The 17,344-nt window shown below is 43.2% G+C and overlaps 1 protein-coding gene across 5 annotated transcripts in view, besides 1 other annotated feature; it reads left to right on the top strand.

Annotated features, from left to right (window-relative positions):
* Positions 1-16,785, top strand: part of NCOA5 (nuclear receptor coactivator 5) — a 28,972-nt gene extending 12,187 nt beyond the window's left edge. For 2 of the 5 annotated variants that reach the window (NM_001348148.2, NM_020967.3), the window contains 6 exons: positions 7,240-7,566; positions 9,138-9,274; positions 10,595-10,721; positions 12,548-12,747; positions 14,096-14,416; positions 14,887-16,785. In NM_001348148.2, coding sequence (NP_001335077.1) covers positions 7,517-7,566; positions 9,138-9,274; positions 10,595-10,721; positions 12,548-12,747; positions 14,096-14,416; positions 14,887-15,476 — 1,425 coding nt within the window. In that variant the 5' untranslated portion in view covers positions 7,240-7,516 and the 3' untranslated portion in view covers positions 15,477-16,785. Of the gene's footprint in view, positions 1-7,239; positions 7,567-9,137; positions 9,275-10,594; positions 10,722-12,547; positions 12,748-14,095; positions 14,440-14,886 lie in introns of all 5 variants that reach the window. The other 3 variants (NM_001348151.2, NM_001348149.2, NM_001348150.2) reach the window with 2 other exon arrangements.
* Positions 13,643-13,702: an enhancer, noted in NCBI's record as "active region_17957". NCBI's record gives its function as "activates an Ori minimal core promoter by ATAC-STARR-seq in GM12878 lymphoblastoid cells {active_cell/tissue: GM12878}" and the evidence as "EXISTENCE:reporter gene assay evidence [ECO:0000049][PMID:35858748]".

Raw genomic sequence — 17,344 nt, 5'->3', positions numbered from 1 at the left:
AGAAGTACAGGGTTCCCATTGGAATCTTTAGTTGCCAGGTGGCTTGAAAGGAGATAAGGTGTGTATCCAATTTCCAAAGAGCGCTAACGTGTGTGTTTCCTGGTGACTTACCAGGAGTGTGGAATTTGTAACTATAAAAGACACTGACTCCGCTAGTAAAATCCTACCCCTCTCTGTTGTCTCCATGATACTTGGTGATCTCTGGATAATGTCTGTGTGTTTCTGCAGGCAAAAACAACAACAACAAATAAGCCACATTGCAGAATAGAGAATAGATCCTGTTTCTGTTATGGATTGAGAAGGGTATTTTATATCATCCTGTTAATGATACTTAACCAAATGCTTTTAACATTTCTAGTTGATTGTAGATATTCAACAAACATTGCAGTGTTGGGGAATGACCAACTTCCCTGGTTGAAACCCAGTAATAGCCGTTGCCAGAGCATTAAATTAAAAATATTAATTTACCCCAATCTAGAAATAGTTTTATGCTTTTTTTAAATAATAGTCCCCGCACAAACAAACATACAGACAGCACTGGAGAGGGCCTTATAAAATGAGCTTCTAGCCAGGCACAGTGGCCCACACCTGTGATCCCAGCACTTTGGGAGGACGAGGTGGGCGGATCACTTGAGCTCAGGAGTTTGAGACCGGCCTGGGCAACATGGCAAAACCCCATCTCTACAAAAAAATAGCCGGGCGTCATGGCTCTTGCCTGTACTCCCAGCTACTGGGGAGGCATTGAAGCGGGAGAATCACTTGAGTGCAGGGGGTTGAGGCTGCAGTGAGCCGTGATCACACCACTGCACTTCAGCCTGGGCAACAGAGTGAGTCCCTGTCTCAAAAAATAAAATGAGCTCCTTACCAACTATATAAATATACAGGTCACCTTTGTATGCCTTTTAAAATATCACCTTCCTCAGAAATCAATTGTAAAATGAGGTCATTTGGTGGTGTGGATAGGGCAGTGACTTCCTGCTTTATTTACAATCAACAGGAGGGACAGCTAGGCTAATTCAAATTCCATTAACAATCCATCTTCCCCTTGGTGATATTTCCCTAGCTGGGTTCCTCAGCATGTTATTTAACATGATGAAGTTCCATACAGTCATGTTTATTTGCTTCAGGGAAGAATGATGGTCACCATTAGTAACCCCATCTAAAAACCGAACTAAGAGTCCCAGTTTTTTACCTTAAAAAAAAAAAAAGACAAATTTAACATTGTATTCAAAATCCCAGTTTTTTACCTTAAAAAAAAAGACAGGTTTAACATTGTATTCAAAATAGCGAGCACTAACATTTTAATCATTGTCCTGATCATACTTTATCTCTTAAGATATACCAATAGGGCAGACATAAATTGCAAAGAGTAGGTGAGACGGGCAAGTAATTAATCTGGAAGGGGCAAATCATTTAACTGAGGGTGAACACTGGGTACCTCCTTTGGGTGCATGCTTCCAGTCAAAGCCTTGAGATAACTCCAAATGTATCAATAGTTGACAACAACAAACTGCCTTTATTTGGCAGCCCTAATCATTTTGTATGCCCCCAGCCACAGGGGGTGCATCATTCACAGGGGAAAAAAAACACTACCTATGGCAAATATTTCCTAAAGTTATACCTCTACATTTTTAGCGCTTTCTACGTTTAATAAGAATATTGGTATAAGCATACTGGCAAGACCTTTATAACACCTTGTTTTGCTGGACTTAACGTAGGTATCTTTGGGAGTTTTACAGGATTATCACCTCTTCAGATGTTTCAGTAAACCACAGTTCTGCTGGCTTTGCTCTCTATTCAATAATATGACTCCCTGATGACTCCAGCTGTCAGTGTGTAATTCTGACAATATTGGCCCAGCCAAGCACAGAACTCTGCATGAGGAATCTCTGCTCTGGATCACATTTCAGCCTGAATTCTTATCATCTAACTCTTGAGGGCCACTTCATTGAACTCCTGTGAGTACCTTGCATAGTTACCATGCAAGTTGTCAAGCATCGATACTAAGCATTAGTCCTTCTTCAAAGACAGGATCATGATTCCAGTTGTGCCTTAGATATCTCAGTTACCATCTTCAGCTCAACACCTTGACAGTCCAGATCTTGTAGCATATCTTTATGCAGATGTGGCCTCTAGGTACAAGAAGTAAGACTGTACTTCTGAATGACTTAAAGAAGAACAAATAGAATTAACTTGTCTGCATCCAACGCTCTGCAGAGGATTTTTCCCCATATATTTGTGAAAGATGTTAAACCTGGTATCTCTTTGGTGAAAGTCATTGGGTATCGGCTCATCAGAAATAACCTGGCTGTAGACAAGTTTCTTATATGACCTGAAATGCTTTCTGCTTATCCACAGGGCCCTAATGCTTTTGATTATTGCTTGCTCCCTGGTTGTGAGACAGCCCTTGCTCTAGGTGGGCCACAAAGAAATTCCAGGTTGTGATTACCTCTGCAGTAACACTTGAAGAAGTCATCAGTTCTCAGCAGCTGCCACCTCTACCAATAAGAAAGTTCTGTTTGTGCTGGAGAAGGTTGTCAGTGCTTCCTAAGGAAAAGCATGGACATGTGTAAAATTTGGGTCTGTGAGGTGTGATATCTCATTGCACGTCCATATCCTACCTCCACCTAATGGCAATATTCTGGACAAGTCTGTTGTCTCCATTTCTAACAGTAGCATGAAGCCCTCCTGGTGGAGGATCAACATCATACAGCAGCCAGCCATTTAGATGATGATATTTGTGGACAGTATATCTGTGACAGAAGTTTGAAGAGCTAATGAAGGATTTTTCAGGGTCAGAAAGAGGCTGGCCCTCCCAAGGAAGACATTCCGGTGAACAGAAAGGAAGAAAGGAGATGCTGACCTTTGCAGAAAAGAAAGAAAAAGACAGGGGTCTTCCTCCCTGACCGTCTGTAGAACCAAAGCCAAAGAAAACCATCTTGGATGTGAAGTTTCAGTCTCTTGCCAAAGAGAAATTCAAAGTCCATCACAGTTTTCCAAGATGATCATCTATCAGTTCTTACTCTGTAGGCTGTCACATGCCTGGTGCTCTGCACACCCCTTTAGTCCTCAGGAAGAGACACATTCTACCAGAAGCTCATCACTTGCCACCAGAGCCATTGTTTTCCCCTTCACCCCTTTCGCCCTTACGTCTCAAATGTTTCCCAGCAGTGTGACTATATTCCCCTCAAGGCAAAGAGTATTTGCCTTTTTCCCCCTCCTGAATAGATGAGGAATTTACAGCAGAATTTTAGTTGTGTTTGCCACCTGCCTTCAGTTTGTGGACTCCAGTGCTGAAATTTAACCACTGTTCAGTTTCTTTTTATCCTCTAGTGATGTAGTACCTGAGGGTATGCTGCATTTGGTTCCTTTAGTAAAACACCTCTGGTGCTGTGGGATGATATTGTTAACCTTATTATGCTCCAGAAACCTGATTCTAACCCACTTATCATCTGAGGTCCAGCGTCTCCCACAGGAAGCTTTGTCTTCTTGCACTTTGATTCGTGCATACTACTGCCCTTTTGTTAGCTGTAGTCTTGTTTTGAAAAATATGTTGGGGCCAGCAGCAGGAGCCCTTTTGTTCTGAGGAGTTCTTTGTTTGGGTCCTAAAGCAACCCTAAAGGGTTTTTTGTTTTGTTTTCGTCTCCAGAAGAACAGCAGTCTACCATAGTGTTTATCTTTTGGAGAAAGGAAAAAAGGCTTTGCCTTTCCTTTTGAGAAAATTATTATCTTCTTTGTCCCTACTTCCACCATGCCTTTGGTTCTTTTTCCTTTTGTGAATATCACCTCTTCTACATTTTTACCCTGAAGGCACTTGAGAGGGAATTAGTAGTTTTGTTGCACATGGACTTCAAATTATTTGAGGGAAAGGGTGGGGCTTGCCCTCTCAGACTGGAAGATTGAACCCAGACTTTGCGAATCTAGAGTTTTAGTCAACTTGCAGGGATGGACTTTGACAGGTAAGTAAGGTTTTTCAGTGGATTCAAAAGAATGAGGACCAATCATAACATAACACTTATAATACTCCGAAGGTGGTAAATAACATGCTATGACATGCCCCACCCCGATTTCCACCAGCCCAAGGCTTTGTGTGTGGTCTGTGGTCTGTCAGGATCATGATATCTCAGCCCTGATTGCCAAGAACACTTGAAATTGGATTCCACCTCTAATGACTACTTCTAACTGCTCCCCAAGGCAGGTTTATCTGCCGATCATTAATCCAAAAATACTTTGCAGTTGTCCTTTCTCTTTGGATCTTGAGTGTTTGCCCACATTACATGCTACATCAGATGTTACATGTTAGGAAGATTATATGATGTAATAAGGAAGGTTGAAGTAAGAATCTTGGTTAGTCTTTACTTTATTCTAATAAGAAAAATAATGCTTAGCTATTCTCATTTAAAGTCCCTGGTCTATGATATGTTTGCTCTCACAAGTCAGGAATGCTGGTGAACCTTAGAATATATAACAAATATTTTTCATGGAAGCAAAATTGGCATTTAAATTGTTTTTGCTGTGCCCGTGTAGCTGAGGTGAGGTTTTCCACAAGCTGATGACATCATGATGAATACCTAACGTGTGTAACCATGGTAGACGACAAAAGTATGAGCAAAACATGCTGCCTGCTCTTGAGAGGCTTACAGTTTAGTAGAATAATTCAATTCATTAAACATTTACTGAACTCCTATGGTGTATCCTAGAGCTACAAAGCCTTCAAGAGAACTTCTTATTTGGTAGGGAAGCCACGTAAACAATTACAGAACAGTGTGGTAAGTGCGGTTATAGAAGTTTGTACTGGAGCAAGATTCATTCAACATACATATAGAGCATCTGTCGTATAACAGACATTGTTCTACATAGTGGGTTTGTAGTGCAGAATCAAAGTGACATAGTTCTTGTCCTTGTGGCACTTGTAGTCTAGTAGGGCAGACAGACATTAAGTAAATATGTAATGTCAATTTGTGATAAATGACAAAAGTGAAAACAGTGCTATGAGAGAATTTTAGGGGCAGAAAGTAAACTTTGATTGAATCTAACAATCAGGGAGTAGGGGATATTTATATGCTGAGACCTGGAAGAGGAGTATAGATCTCTTCCTGCTACTCACGTAAAGGGATCAGGAAAGACGTTGGCTAGGCAGAGCTGAAAGGCCGGTGTGGCAAAGAGTGGTGAACTAGGGAGAGGGTGTGACAGGGTTAGAGAAGACAGGAGCCAAGATTATACAGGACCTTCATGGCATTGGTAGAGGTTGTAGATTGAATTCTAAATACTGTGGGAGCCTGGCACAGTGGCACACATCTGTAGTTCCAGCTACTTGGTAGGCTGAGGCAGGAGGATCACTTGAGCCCAGGAGTTCAAGGCTGTAGTGTTCCGTGATCCCACCTGTGAATAGCCACTGCACTCCAGCCTGGGCAGCATAGGTGAGATCTCATCCCTATAAAAATAAATACATACTGTGGGAAACCAGGGAAGGGCTTTACATACGTAACAGATCACTGTAGAGTGATCTTTCTGGAGAAAGATTTGGAAAGAGGCAAAAACAGAAATGAGGAGACTGCTTTAGAAGGCTCTTGCTGTGGTTTGAGGGTGAGATGATTATGCGCTGGCCTTCAGTTTTGCCAAAGAAGGTAAAGGAAAGTGGGCAGAACTGAGAAAGAATGGAGAAAATTTGGAAATGTGGTTGGAAGGGAGGATGAGGCTTTAAGGGAAAGATGACATCCAGTTTCGTGGCTTGAGTAACTGAGTAGTTGGATGTGCCATTTACTGAGATGGGAAGGACTGGAGGAGGAGCATGGTTGTTGGGGAAGATCAAGAGTTCAGGGCAGGTTTTACGGAGAAGGTAATCCTTAAAGCGGGTCAGACATAAGACATTGTTGTAAAAGGGTAAATGCCAGATCAAGATGAGTAATACAGATAGAAAGTGCCCTGAGCTGAGCAGAAGAGATCAGCAGTTAGGAAGGGTAGGGAAGGTTTCTTGGAAGACATGGGACACGAACTTGCCTGTGTGGATTGGATGGTACTTGGATTAGTGCAGGAAAAATATTCCAAGTATAGAAATCAAATAAATAAAACTATTGAGATAGATTATATCTTGTGAGTTATAAGAATTAAGTAGAACTGAGGAGGTTGAATTAGAAATGAGAGGGAGATAATAGCTGTCAGATTTATTAGGCTTTCTAACATAGAAGTTGGCATTTTAGGATAGTTAGTGTATTTATGTGTTGAATGAATTGAAAGCAAGTAGGTTGATTTTTAATTTTGTGTTTTGGAAACCTGTTGGTGTCAGAATAGAAATAAGGGCTTGGATTGGACTTACAAATCCAATGGGAATGGAAAGAAAAAGTGAACGGGACACAAGTGACTTTATTGGGATGGGGGAAGAAAAAGCATAGTTAATATTCAAGAACTTAAAACTTGATAAGTGGAAAGATGATTTTGTCAAAAGTGGAAAAGTGGGGAATGGGACTGATGGGGTTGGGGTAAGAAGTTTTTAATTTTAAATATGTTGAAGAGGAGTTTCCAGTGGGTTGAAACGTCTCATGAAGAACATTGAGTCAGAGCAGACAAAGCATATCTGTGACTTCACTGTTCAGGTTGTTTTTTTGTTTTGTTTTGTTCTCTTTTTTTTTTTTTTAAACCATCTTGAGCAAAATGGAATCAGCTTCTACGTAAACCCTCAGATTGAGAGATACCAATACTCAATAGCCCTGACAAAACAGAGAAACAGATTGTTCTTGGTCCTTTACTGTATGTATCTTATAGTAATTTTTTCCCCTTAATTTTATTATCCTGCCAAGATACTTCAAGTGCATTTTCCGTACTTTAAGGACAGTTCCTTTGATCACTTTTATAAGATTGTGCCATTCGCTCTTTTTTTCTTCATGAGTCTTGCCTCCTTACTCTGTCACTCCAACTTTTTACCCCTTGTAAAGTCTCTTTCAAGCAAGTCTGGTGGAAAGACACTTTCACTTTGAAAGCCTGATGAATACTGTTATCCAGTCAAAACCTTCAGTTTTTGGTCATGCATTCTTTTGATGTCCTAATCTTTTGAGATTGTGGAACCTCTAGACTATTTGCTGACCAGATGGATGACTGGCCTTAAATGTTGAGTCATGTTCTGTTTGGCTGCCCTGTTTTAGAGAAGAATGCTTGGAGGGTGGGGGTTTTCTCATATGAAGAGCTGATGGGTTGGCTACTTTCAATTTCTTTGTCTTAGCATTTTCTTGCTACCTCCCACAGGGATCCATATGGCTTTGGAGACAGTCGAGATTCAAGGCGTGATCGATCCCCAATTCGAGGAAGTCCAAGGAGAGAGCCCAGGGATGGCAGAAATGGCCGGGATGCCCGGGACAGCAGAGACATTCGAGACCCCCGAGACTTGCGGGACCACAGACATAGTAGAGATTTGCGGGATCACAGAGACAGCAGGAGTGTGCGCGACGTTCGGGACGTGAGGGATCTTAGAGACTTTCGTGATCTAAGAGACTCTAGGGATTTTCGAGATCAGCGAGACCCCATGTACGACAGATACAGAGACATGAGAGACTCCCGAGATCCTATGTACAGGTACATACGTAGTTACTCTGCTTGTTTTTTCCTGAGTTCTTTTTATGTATGTTCTGCTAAACTAATTGAAAGCTCTGTAAGAGCAGTCATTTTATCAGCCTTTTATTTCTGGTGACTGTCAAGTGATAGATGTGCTGCTGCTCAATAAATTTTGCTGAATGTATGAATGATTTTCAACATTTTTAACAGAAAATAACAGTGTTGGAAAGGTATGGAGAAATTGAAACTCTGAGAAATTGTAGGTAGGAATGCAAATTGGTATAGCCACTATGGAAAACAGTTTGGCAGTTCCTTAAAAAGTTAAACATAGAATTACCATATGATCTATCAGTTCCGCTCCTGAGTATACACTCAAAACAATTGAAAAGAGGGACTCAGTTGTACATGAATATGCATAGCAGTACTATTCACAATAACCAAAAGGTAAAAACACTCCAGATGTCTATCAGCAGATTAATGGATTTTTTTTTTTTTTCTTTGAGACAAGGTGTCATTCTGTTTCCCAGGCTGGAGTGCAGTGGCATGATCACAGCTCACTGCAGCCTTGACCTCCCAGGCTTAAGTACTTCTCCCACCTCAGCCTCTCAAGTAACTGGGACTACAGGCATATGCCGCCACACCTGGCTAATTTTTTTGTATAGACGTGGAGTCTCACTGTGTTGCCCAGGCTGGTCTTGAACTCCTGAGCTCAAGGTATCCTCCCGCCTTGGCTTCCCAAAGTGCTGAGATTACAGGTGTAAGCCACTGTGTGGATTTGTTTTTAAGTGGTGTATTCATATAATGTGGTATCATTCAGCCATAAAATGAAATGAAATTCTGATCTGTGGTACAGCATGAAGGACGTTGAAAACATTATGCTAAGTGAAATAAGCCAGACATAAGACAAATATTGTATGATTTCACTTTATGTGAAATATCAAGAATACGCAAATTTATAGAGACAGAAAATAGATTAAAGATTACCAGTGGCTGGGGAGAGGGGAGTTATTTCACGAATACAGAATTTATGTTTGAGGTGATGAAAAATTTTAGATAATGGTGATGGTTGCACAGCATTGTGAATATAATGCCACTGAATTGTATACTTAAAAATTGTTAGGCCAGGCGCAGTGGCTCACGCCTGTAATCCCAGCACTTTGGGAGGCCGAGGTGGGCGGATTGGATTGCCTGAGCTCAAGAGTTCAAGACCAACCTAGGCAACATGGCAAAACTCCATCTCTACTAAAAAAAAAATAATAATAATAATAAAAATTGTTAAAATGGCAAATTATTGTTATATGCGTTTAGATATAATTTTAAAAAGCACAAGGGAGGGACATGTAATGTTTCCTCAAAACTAGTATCAATAATTCCTGCCAGTTATTTTGCATTTAATATATGCCAAAGACCATGCTAAGTGCTTTCTGTACATCATCTCAGTGAGACAGGTTAACTCTATCACAGCCACAGAGCTGATAATGCAGTGAGTCCCAGATATAAACCTCATTTGTCTAATCCCAGAGAATTCTCTAGGTGACTTTTTCAGGATAAGACACAGTTTTATCTTTATGAAAATTTCCTTAACTTTTCAGGAGAGAAGGCTCTTATGACCGATACCTACGAATGGATGACTATTGCAGGAGAAAGGATGACTCTTATTTTGACCGTTACAGAGATAGCTTTGATGGACGGGGCCCTCCAGGCCCAGAAAGTCAGTCTCGTGCAAAAGGTAAAGTAGCTGAAACAGTCTATTCCTATTATTGATAGAACACTTTACAAAAGAGAGAGGAAACTAATAACCAGTACCCCCATCTGAAAAAGGGCTAGTGCCTTGGCCAAGCAGTGTATAAAAAGAAGAAATATAAGTAGCTTATTAGTGGGTAAAGAGCATTTGGCTTGAAAATGATTTTTAAGATGCAAATTAGTACCATCATCTGGTTTAGTCATCCAACAAGAAGAAATAAATATGAAATTCCAGCAATAAGAAATGAACAAAATGCTGGTCACTGTGGCCACCACCTGTAATCCTAGCACTTTGGAAGGCCAAGGCCGGCAGATCACTTGAGCCCAGGAGTTCAAGACCAGCTTAAGCAACATGATAAAACCCCATCTCTACAAAAAAAAATACAAAAATTGTCTTGGTGCAGTGGTGCACACCTGTAGTCCCAGCTACTCGGGGGGCTGAGGCAGGAGGATCGCTGGAGCCTAGGATGTTGAGGTCTCAGCAAGCCATGATTGTGCCACTGCACTCCAGCCTGGGTGACAGAGTGAGACCCTGTCTCAAAAAAAAAAAAGAGAAAAATGAACAAAAGATTGGAGCTGAAGACATTAAGTGCTTGTTTTTTGCCTACTGACCAAGTAACTATGACTGACTATCTGCATTATCTAGGCAAAATAGGTTTTTGGTTTTTTTTATAACTTTTACCTAACAGCATCTCTTTTTTAGATGAAGGCAAACATGTCTTTTTAAAGCCTGGTTTTTCTCAATACATCTTTAAAGGTTCTTAAATTATTTCATACCTGGCCAAGTTGAAATCTTTAAGAATCTCATTTTTAATTTTAATTTTTTAATTTTAAACTTTATACTTGATTTTTTTCTTTTAAAAAAAGAACTTTTAAATTTTTAATTTTAAACTTTACTACTTGATTTTTTCCCCAAAAAAAAAGCAAAAATGCAGATTAGAATAATAATAATATTCTTATCTGTCAAGTTGGCAAGACTTAAAAAGAATGACAGTACTCACTGTTGACTAAGGTGTGGAGAAATAGGCACTAGATGATCTACCTCTGTGGAGGTATAAATTAGTATCAGCCTTCTCAGGGAGCAGCTTGGCAGTAAGTATCAGATGCAGCATTAAAATGGCCACGTCCTTTAATCCAGCATTACATTTTGGTTAATTTATAATAGTAAAAAATATTAATACTGGCTGTTTTTAGGAGATAGACCAGAGGATTGATTCAGAGTATTATGACCTTTGCCTACAAGTAGCTCAGGATTTAAAATGAGGGTCCAGTCCTTATTTCAGTTTACCCTGGTGGTGTTTTGCAGAGCGTTTGAAACGTGAGGAACGGCGTAGAGAAGAGCTTTATCGTCAATATTTTGAGGAAATCCAGAGACGCTTTGATGCCGAAAGGCCCGTTGATTGTTCTGTGATTGTGGTCAACAAACAGACAAAGTAAGAACCCTTAGATATTTCTCCCCAGTAAGGAGAAGAGTCAGAGAAATTCAGGCTCCTGTTTAGCACCTCTATCCACTGAATCTGAGCTGTGTATTCTTGCATTGCTGTGCGCTGTTAGCCAGGGTTCTTTCAGTTATAGGTGACAGAAAACTCAATTCAAATTGAGGCCAAAAGGGACATTTTTCATTTAAGCAAAAATTAACTGGGAAATTGAGGCACAGCCACATCCAGGATCAAACCATGTCATCAAAATTGGTCTCTGTGTTAGTCTCTAAGCACTGTTTTCCTCAGATTTGCCTTTGTTCTCAGGCAGGTTTTGTGCTTGAAGAGGCAGAATGGCACTGGCCCTGAACGTGTGTCTTCTTAGCTTAGCAAGCCAAGTGGAAAGAGAACTTCTCTTTCCCAGTGTTTCCACCTGAAGTTCTGCAGTTCTTTTTAGATTGACCTGACTCACTTTCCCATCCCTGAGCCTGTCACTTTGGCAGGGGTGCTGGGTGTTCTGATTGGCCAGGGCTAAGTCATGTTCCCATCCCAAGAGCTAGAGGTGGGATTAGCCCTGTGGAACCATGCAGACTGAGAGTGGAAGAGGGTGTAGCCGCTGGTCAAGCAGAGTAGTATATACTCCCTTCATGGGACAACCCAAATGCCCAATACTTTGGGAGACACGCCTCTGCATTTGTCAGCCAAGAACCAAGTCTTTGTGAAGTACCATGGCCTTGCAGAACTGTTACATGACCATGTTACCAAGCTAGGGCTTATAGCATTGTTTCACTGCATCCCTGTTTTACATTTTCTCCTTGAAGAGGCAGAGCAGAGAAGCAGAAAGGAGTATAGCAGCTTGCAGGCTTGGCAGTAGCTATGTTCCCTTTCCCTAGGTGGTACTAAGTAAATAACTTCATGTATTTTCTAGCAGTTTGGGGTTAAAGAGCTAATTTCAAGGCAGTGACTAGGGAAATAGGTGTTGAGACACCAAGCAGTAGGCAGAGTTCACAGGCTCTTGGCTGTCTTGTTCAGTGATAGATGCTGCTTTTAACTCTAGAGAGCTTTTTTTGGACACATGATAATAGCTGTTATTTTCTGAGCACCTACTTTATGTACTACCCCATACTAGGTGCCTTACATAAATTATTTTTAATCTTCACAGTAATCATAAAAAATGAGCATTCAGCAAATCTTTTATACGTATGGTGGATGGCGGGTATTGGGGCTGTATAGCCTCATTCCACTGGTGGAGCTTACACCCAATGGGGCAGGTGACAAAAGCATACAGGTGATGAGTCCTATGAGAAGAGAATGTCAGAGATCTAATTTAGATTGGAGGGAAGGTCAAAAAAATGACGTATGAACTGAGCCATGTTACTCCTGTTTTATTAGTAAAGAAACTGATGTTTGTAAGAGGTAAATGGACTTGCTTAAGCTTCACAACTTTGCAAATAAATTTTAAGGGCTGGGATCCAAACCCATGTTTCTAGCGTTAAACCCATGATCTTCCCACTGTGTTGTGCAGCCTACCCAAAAAGAGATAAGTGCCACAAGTCTTAGGGAGCAGGATGGTCTTAAGGAAGGACCACAGGGCTAGAGAATCAAGAGAAGGACCTGGGTATCATACTGTGCTACTGGCAACTTCTGACGTGATCTCAAGCAAGTCACAACCGTTCTGAGCCAGGGTAGAGAGAGAGTATTGGTCTAGATACTTGGATCCTGAATACGGTACTGGGGTAGACTAAGGTTTGAGTTATCAGTAGGAACACACACAACTGGCTTGAGACACACGATGCAGATTTGGAGTTGGTCGCTCACCTGGATCTTATTTATTTTTACAGAGACTATGCTGAGTCTGTGGGGCGGAAGGTGCGAGACCTGGGCATGGTAGTGGACTTGATCTTCCTTAACACAGAAGTGTCACTGTCACAAGCCTTGGAGGATGTTAGCAGGGGAGGTTCTCCTTTTGCTATTGTCATCACCCAGCAACACCAGATTCACCGCTCCTGCACAGTCAACATCATGTTTGGAACCCCGCAAGGTACAGAGTCAGAATACCGGAGGTAGTCACTAGTCCATTATTAGTCCTTTATGCCTTACTCAGAAGAAGCAGGTTTTGGGCAAATGACTCTTATATCTCAGTTCATATATGGTAGGGCCCCTCTCTTAAGTACCATGGAAGAGTCTTGCATAGTCACTTACTTATCTGATAGTTTCTTAGTGGATCTCTGTTACACTATACTTAGCCACTAGGTATATACAGTGGTGTGCTGGCACACGTGTAACAACAAGTTCCAGTGTGGGGGGAGGGCGTTTATAGCATTTGCTGATCTCCATGGTGTAAATACTCCCACCATGTTTCAGTTCAAGCCACCAACCTGAAGTCACTGAAGGGAGAGTTGGAAAGAAATGTACACAGTTGGCTCTTGCCACTGAGATCTGGCTCCAGCACACCTCTGCCATGTACTCCACTGAATGTGACAAAATCCTTGCTTCTGCCAGCTTTCTAATGGAGGACAGAGAATATAACAGGCATTTAGGGTCCTTTTTGTAAGTGTGCTGGAGAAGTAACCAGAGGGGCTAAGAGGCCGTGACCCTGTAGAGGCCCAGGCCCAGTTCTCGAAGTCCTCCTCAGAAGTAGCTTTTAATGCATTGAGCCCAGAGGATTAAGAGTCCGCCAGCTGATACCCTGCTCCTCACTCTTACAGCACAGACTTAACCCTTTTCCCACTATACGCAGGATCTCTCTTTGCCTCACCCATTACCCTCATAACCATACAATTACATAAGGATCTCCAGTGGGTCATTTGTCTGAGGAATAGTCCTCAAGATGTGTGAGGACAAAAGTTCTAAGGAGTCCTCTCACTACCCAGTAAACCATGTTGCCCATGGGTGAGGAGAGGAGGTTATTTAGGGTCACAGTTTGATCTTAATCTATGACTTTTGAACTGATGAATTAAAAAATGGTAGGCCAGCTCTGTCCTGAGGAGCACAGTGGAGAGCCCTGCTTTCCAGAGGGGCCTGTTGGCCTCCTGCTGCTGGTCTAGAGGCTGTTGGGCCTGCCTCCCATGGCTGTTCCCCACGTGGTCTGTTTGAATCTGTGGGAGGATGTCATGTTTCTTTGGTTTTTACTACAAGTCTGTGATCTAGGAATTCCCCCAAAGAACCAGCTGTATATAAAGGTGCATCTCCTCACCAAAAGTGTTCGTTCACTTCCCTTCCTGGCCTTCATCTCTCCCCCCACACCACCCCACTCTCAATCTCAAGGCTTTTTGTCACCAAAATGATTTTCTTGCTGGTATGAGGTTAGGAAAGACTTGACAGAGTGCAGCAGGTGGGCACTTAAATATGTCATGGAAGAAAATAACTCATGTCATTTCCTCCTACAGAGCATCGCAACATGCCCCAAGCAGATGCCATGGTGCTGGTGGCCAGAAATTATGAGCGTTACAAGAATGAGTGCCGGGAGAAGGAACGTGAGGAGATTGCCAGACAGGCAGCCAAGATGGCCGATGAAGCCATCCTGCAGGAAAGAGAGAGAGGAGGCCCTGAGGAGGGAGTGCGTGGGGGCCACCCTCCAGCCATCCAGAGCCTCATCAACCTGCTGGCAGACAACAGGTACCTCACTGCTGAAGAGACTGACAAGATCATCAACTACCTGCGAGAGCGGAAGGAGCGGCTGATGAGGAGCAGCACCGACTCTCTGCCTGGTGAGCTACGTGGCAGGGCCGAGGTGAAGTTCTGACTCTGCATTTCTCTAATCCCCAGGCTCTGTTGGGAGGGTGTCAGGCCCAGGGCTCTTTGGAGTGGGTAAGGGAACTAAGTCCATCCCTTGGGTTCTCCCGTGGGCCACCCATGCTGATATAATGTTAATAATAACTTTATATTTGGGTACTGAATGCTGATCCCTATAGTTAATGTGGTGGATTGACTAGTATTGCTGGCTCCGTGGTAGCCAGGATGGATGCCCTTTTGTTTTTTAGCAGTTCTCTAGGGGAACTAGCCTATTGTTTTCTGTAAACAGCACATATCATGAAGCGGCCTCTTTGGGAAATTGATGTTATCGTCTGTGTACTGTATGATTGATGTGACTCAGTGATTGTTGTTCTTCCTTTGGCTGCTAGGCCTCCTGCCCTTGGGGGGTACTTTGAACCAGATACCTCCCTCTTCTGTCTTCCAGGCCCGATTTCCCGCCAACCACTCGGGGCGACCTCGGGTGCCTCGCTGAAGACACAGCCAAGCTCCCAACCGCTCCAGAGCGGCCAAGTGCTCCCCTCTGCTACACCCACTCCATCTGCACCCCCCACCTCCCAGCAAGAGCTTCAGGCCAAAATCCTCAGCCTCTTCAATAGTGGCACAGTGACGGCCAATAGCAGCTCTGCATCCCCCTCGGTTGCTGCCGGAAACACCCCAAACCAGAATTTTTCCACAGCAGCAAACAGCCAGCCTCAACAAAGATCACAGGCTTCTGGCAATCAGCCTCCAAGCATTTTGGGACAGGGAGGATCTGCTCAGAACATGGGCCCCAGACCTGGGGCTCCTTCCCAAGGGCTTTTTGGCCAGCCTTCCAGTCGCCTGGCACCTGCTAGCAACATGACTAGCCAGAGGCCTGTGTCTTCCACAGGTATCAACTTTGACAATCCAAGTGTACAGAAGGCTCTGGATACCCTGATCCAGAGTGGCCCTGCTCTCTCCCACCTGGTTAGCCAGACCACAGCACAGATGGGGCAGCCACAGGCCCCCATGGGATCTTACCAGAGGCATTACTGAAGCTAAATCTTTCAACTCTCCCCAGTCCCCTCATCCCCTGGCCTCCTCCCACTTACTTGTTCTAAATAGAGCTGTTTGGAGGATGTTCTCTGCGCTCCCAGGCCGGCATCGAGTGTCATCAATTTCTACCACCTGCTCTCTCTTCTGCCCAAGGCTGTGTTGCTTATTCCTTACAAAGTTTATACTGCATTTGGGGCTGTATCTTTTTTTGTTTTTTGTTTTGTAGAAAATAAATATCTCCGGGGGCAGTACAGGTGTCTGGGCTTGTATTTGATGGGGTTTCTCCGGTCCCTGTTTCTACTGGATTTGGAGCCAGGCCCAGCTAGCCAAGTTTGGAATGGCATTTGTCATGTCAGTAGCCACCACCTTTGTTCATTGTGAACCTACCAAGGCTTTCCAGCTTCATACACATTGACCAGAGCTCAAGCTCCTGCCTGCAACTCCTGCCTAGAGTTGAAGAAAAGCAAACTGGCCTTGGCAGGCACAGTGTCATCATACCCTCACCCCATATGTTTGGGGTCTGCTTGAGGATTCATAAATCAGCCACTCTGGATTGTTGAGGAATGGCCATGGCAGCCACAGAAAAAAGAATTTTTCTCTCTGAGCCAAGGTTGTTTTTTGTTTTTTTCTCTTTTCTTTTTTGTTTTCATTTCATTGGAAGATCTCCAATGGACTGAACAGCTCCAGTCAGCAGCAGTTACCACAAACTGTGAATCTGGGCCCCACCACTCTTCCCTGTTAACCAGTTCTGTCAGCATCCCCCTCTCCAGCAGCACTTCCATGAAGTTGGTTCTGAGACTCTGGCCGTGAACACCCGTTTCTTCAGTGATTTGTTTTGGGCTTTTGGCTCAAAACCCCAGGCTCTTGTTTTTGTCTAGACTCTTATTCTGTTTCCTGAGCAGCAGGAGGTAGGGACCACTTTGATGTCAGACTTCTGGTAGCTGGACATGTTCTCGAGATGGGTGGCTGTTCGCGACTTTTGTACCAGAGTGAAATTGTTAGAAGGAGGGTTTCTGGCTGTGGTTCTAAATGGAGCCCCAGGAAGCTGCCCTCTCCCCAGGGTTTGTGCTCAGTAGAGCCCTGTGGATCACAGTCTTGAGGTCCTCTAGCAGGGGTGAGGGAGAGCAGCGACTTCAGCTGAGTCCCTGCCAGTGGTTAAGCAAACAATGGTTTCAAAATTCAAGGTCCCCAAATGGCAGCATTTTATGTTCTGACCTGTTTGTGTTATATAGTGGTTTTTTTTTTCCTCTTTGGAACTCTTGTGTTGTTAATAAAATGAAATGATTACTTTTTAATTAAAATGAAAAAAGTAAAAGCTTTGTTCATCTTTTTTGGGTGTGAATATGCTCTTTGCAGGATGCTTTCCCCAAGTCAGAGGTGAGGGCTCCTGTCTCGAGGACTCTGGTCTGCCCCCTTTTGTCCTCAGCATATGATCCGGCCTCAAACCTCTTTGAACCCTGCCTTCTCTTCATAGGTAGCTCACTTAGAGGCTTTAATAACAGTTCAGAGCAAAGGCCTGTTGGCTAATTATAGTGCTGTGTTCAACATCCTGCTTCTGGTAGACATTCATTGTGTCAGCAGCCTTGTCCTCTTATTCTAGGAAAGGAAAACAGGATGTGAGGAGGCCATTTGTGGTTAATGGCCATTGGTAGGGGGGCACTTCCTGTTTTCATTTTGTCTCAGTTGCCACCCTCTGTTCTACCCATTGTGCAGGGAGTTGGCAGAATTCATAGAACCTGAAGGAGCCTTGAAGAGCATTTAATAACTTGGGGTGGGTGTGGTGAAGTGGGTGGCACAGGCCTCCAGTGAGTTAGGGACCAACGTGCCAAGAGCACTGAGCCTCACCAGTTAAGTGTTCACTGCCTCCT

Source organism: Homo sapiens, chromosome 20 (assembly GCF_000001405.40).
Source record: "Homo sapiens chromosome 20, GRCh38.p14 Primary Assembly".
Lineage (NCBI taxonomy): Eukaryota > Metazoa > Chordata > Mammalia > Primates > Hominidae > Homo > Homo sapiens.
The sequence above is the reverse complement of the archived record's forward strand: the minus strand, read 5'-3'. Positions and strand labels throughout refer to the sequence as shown.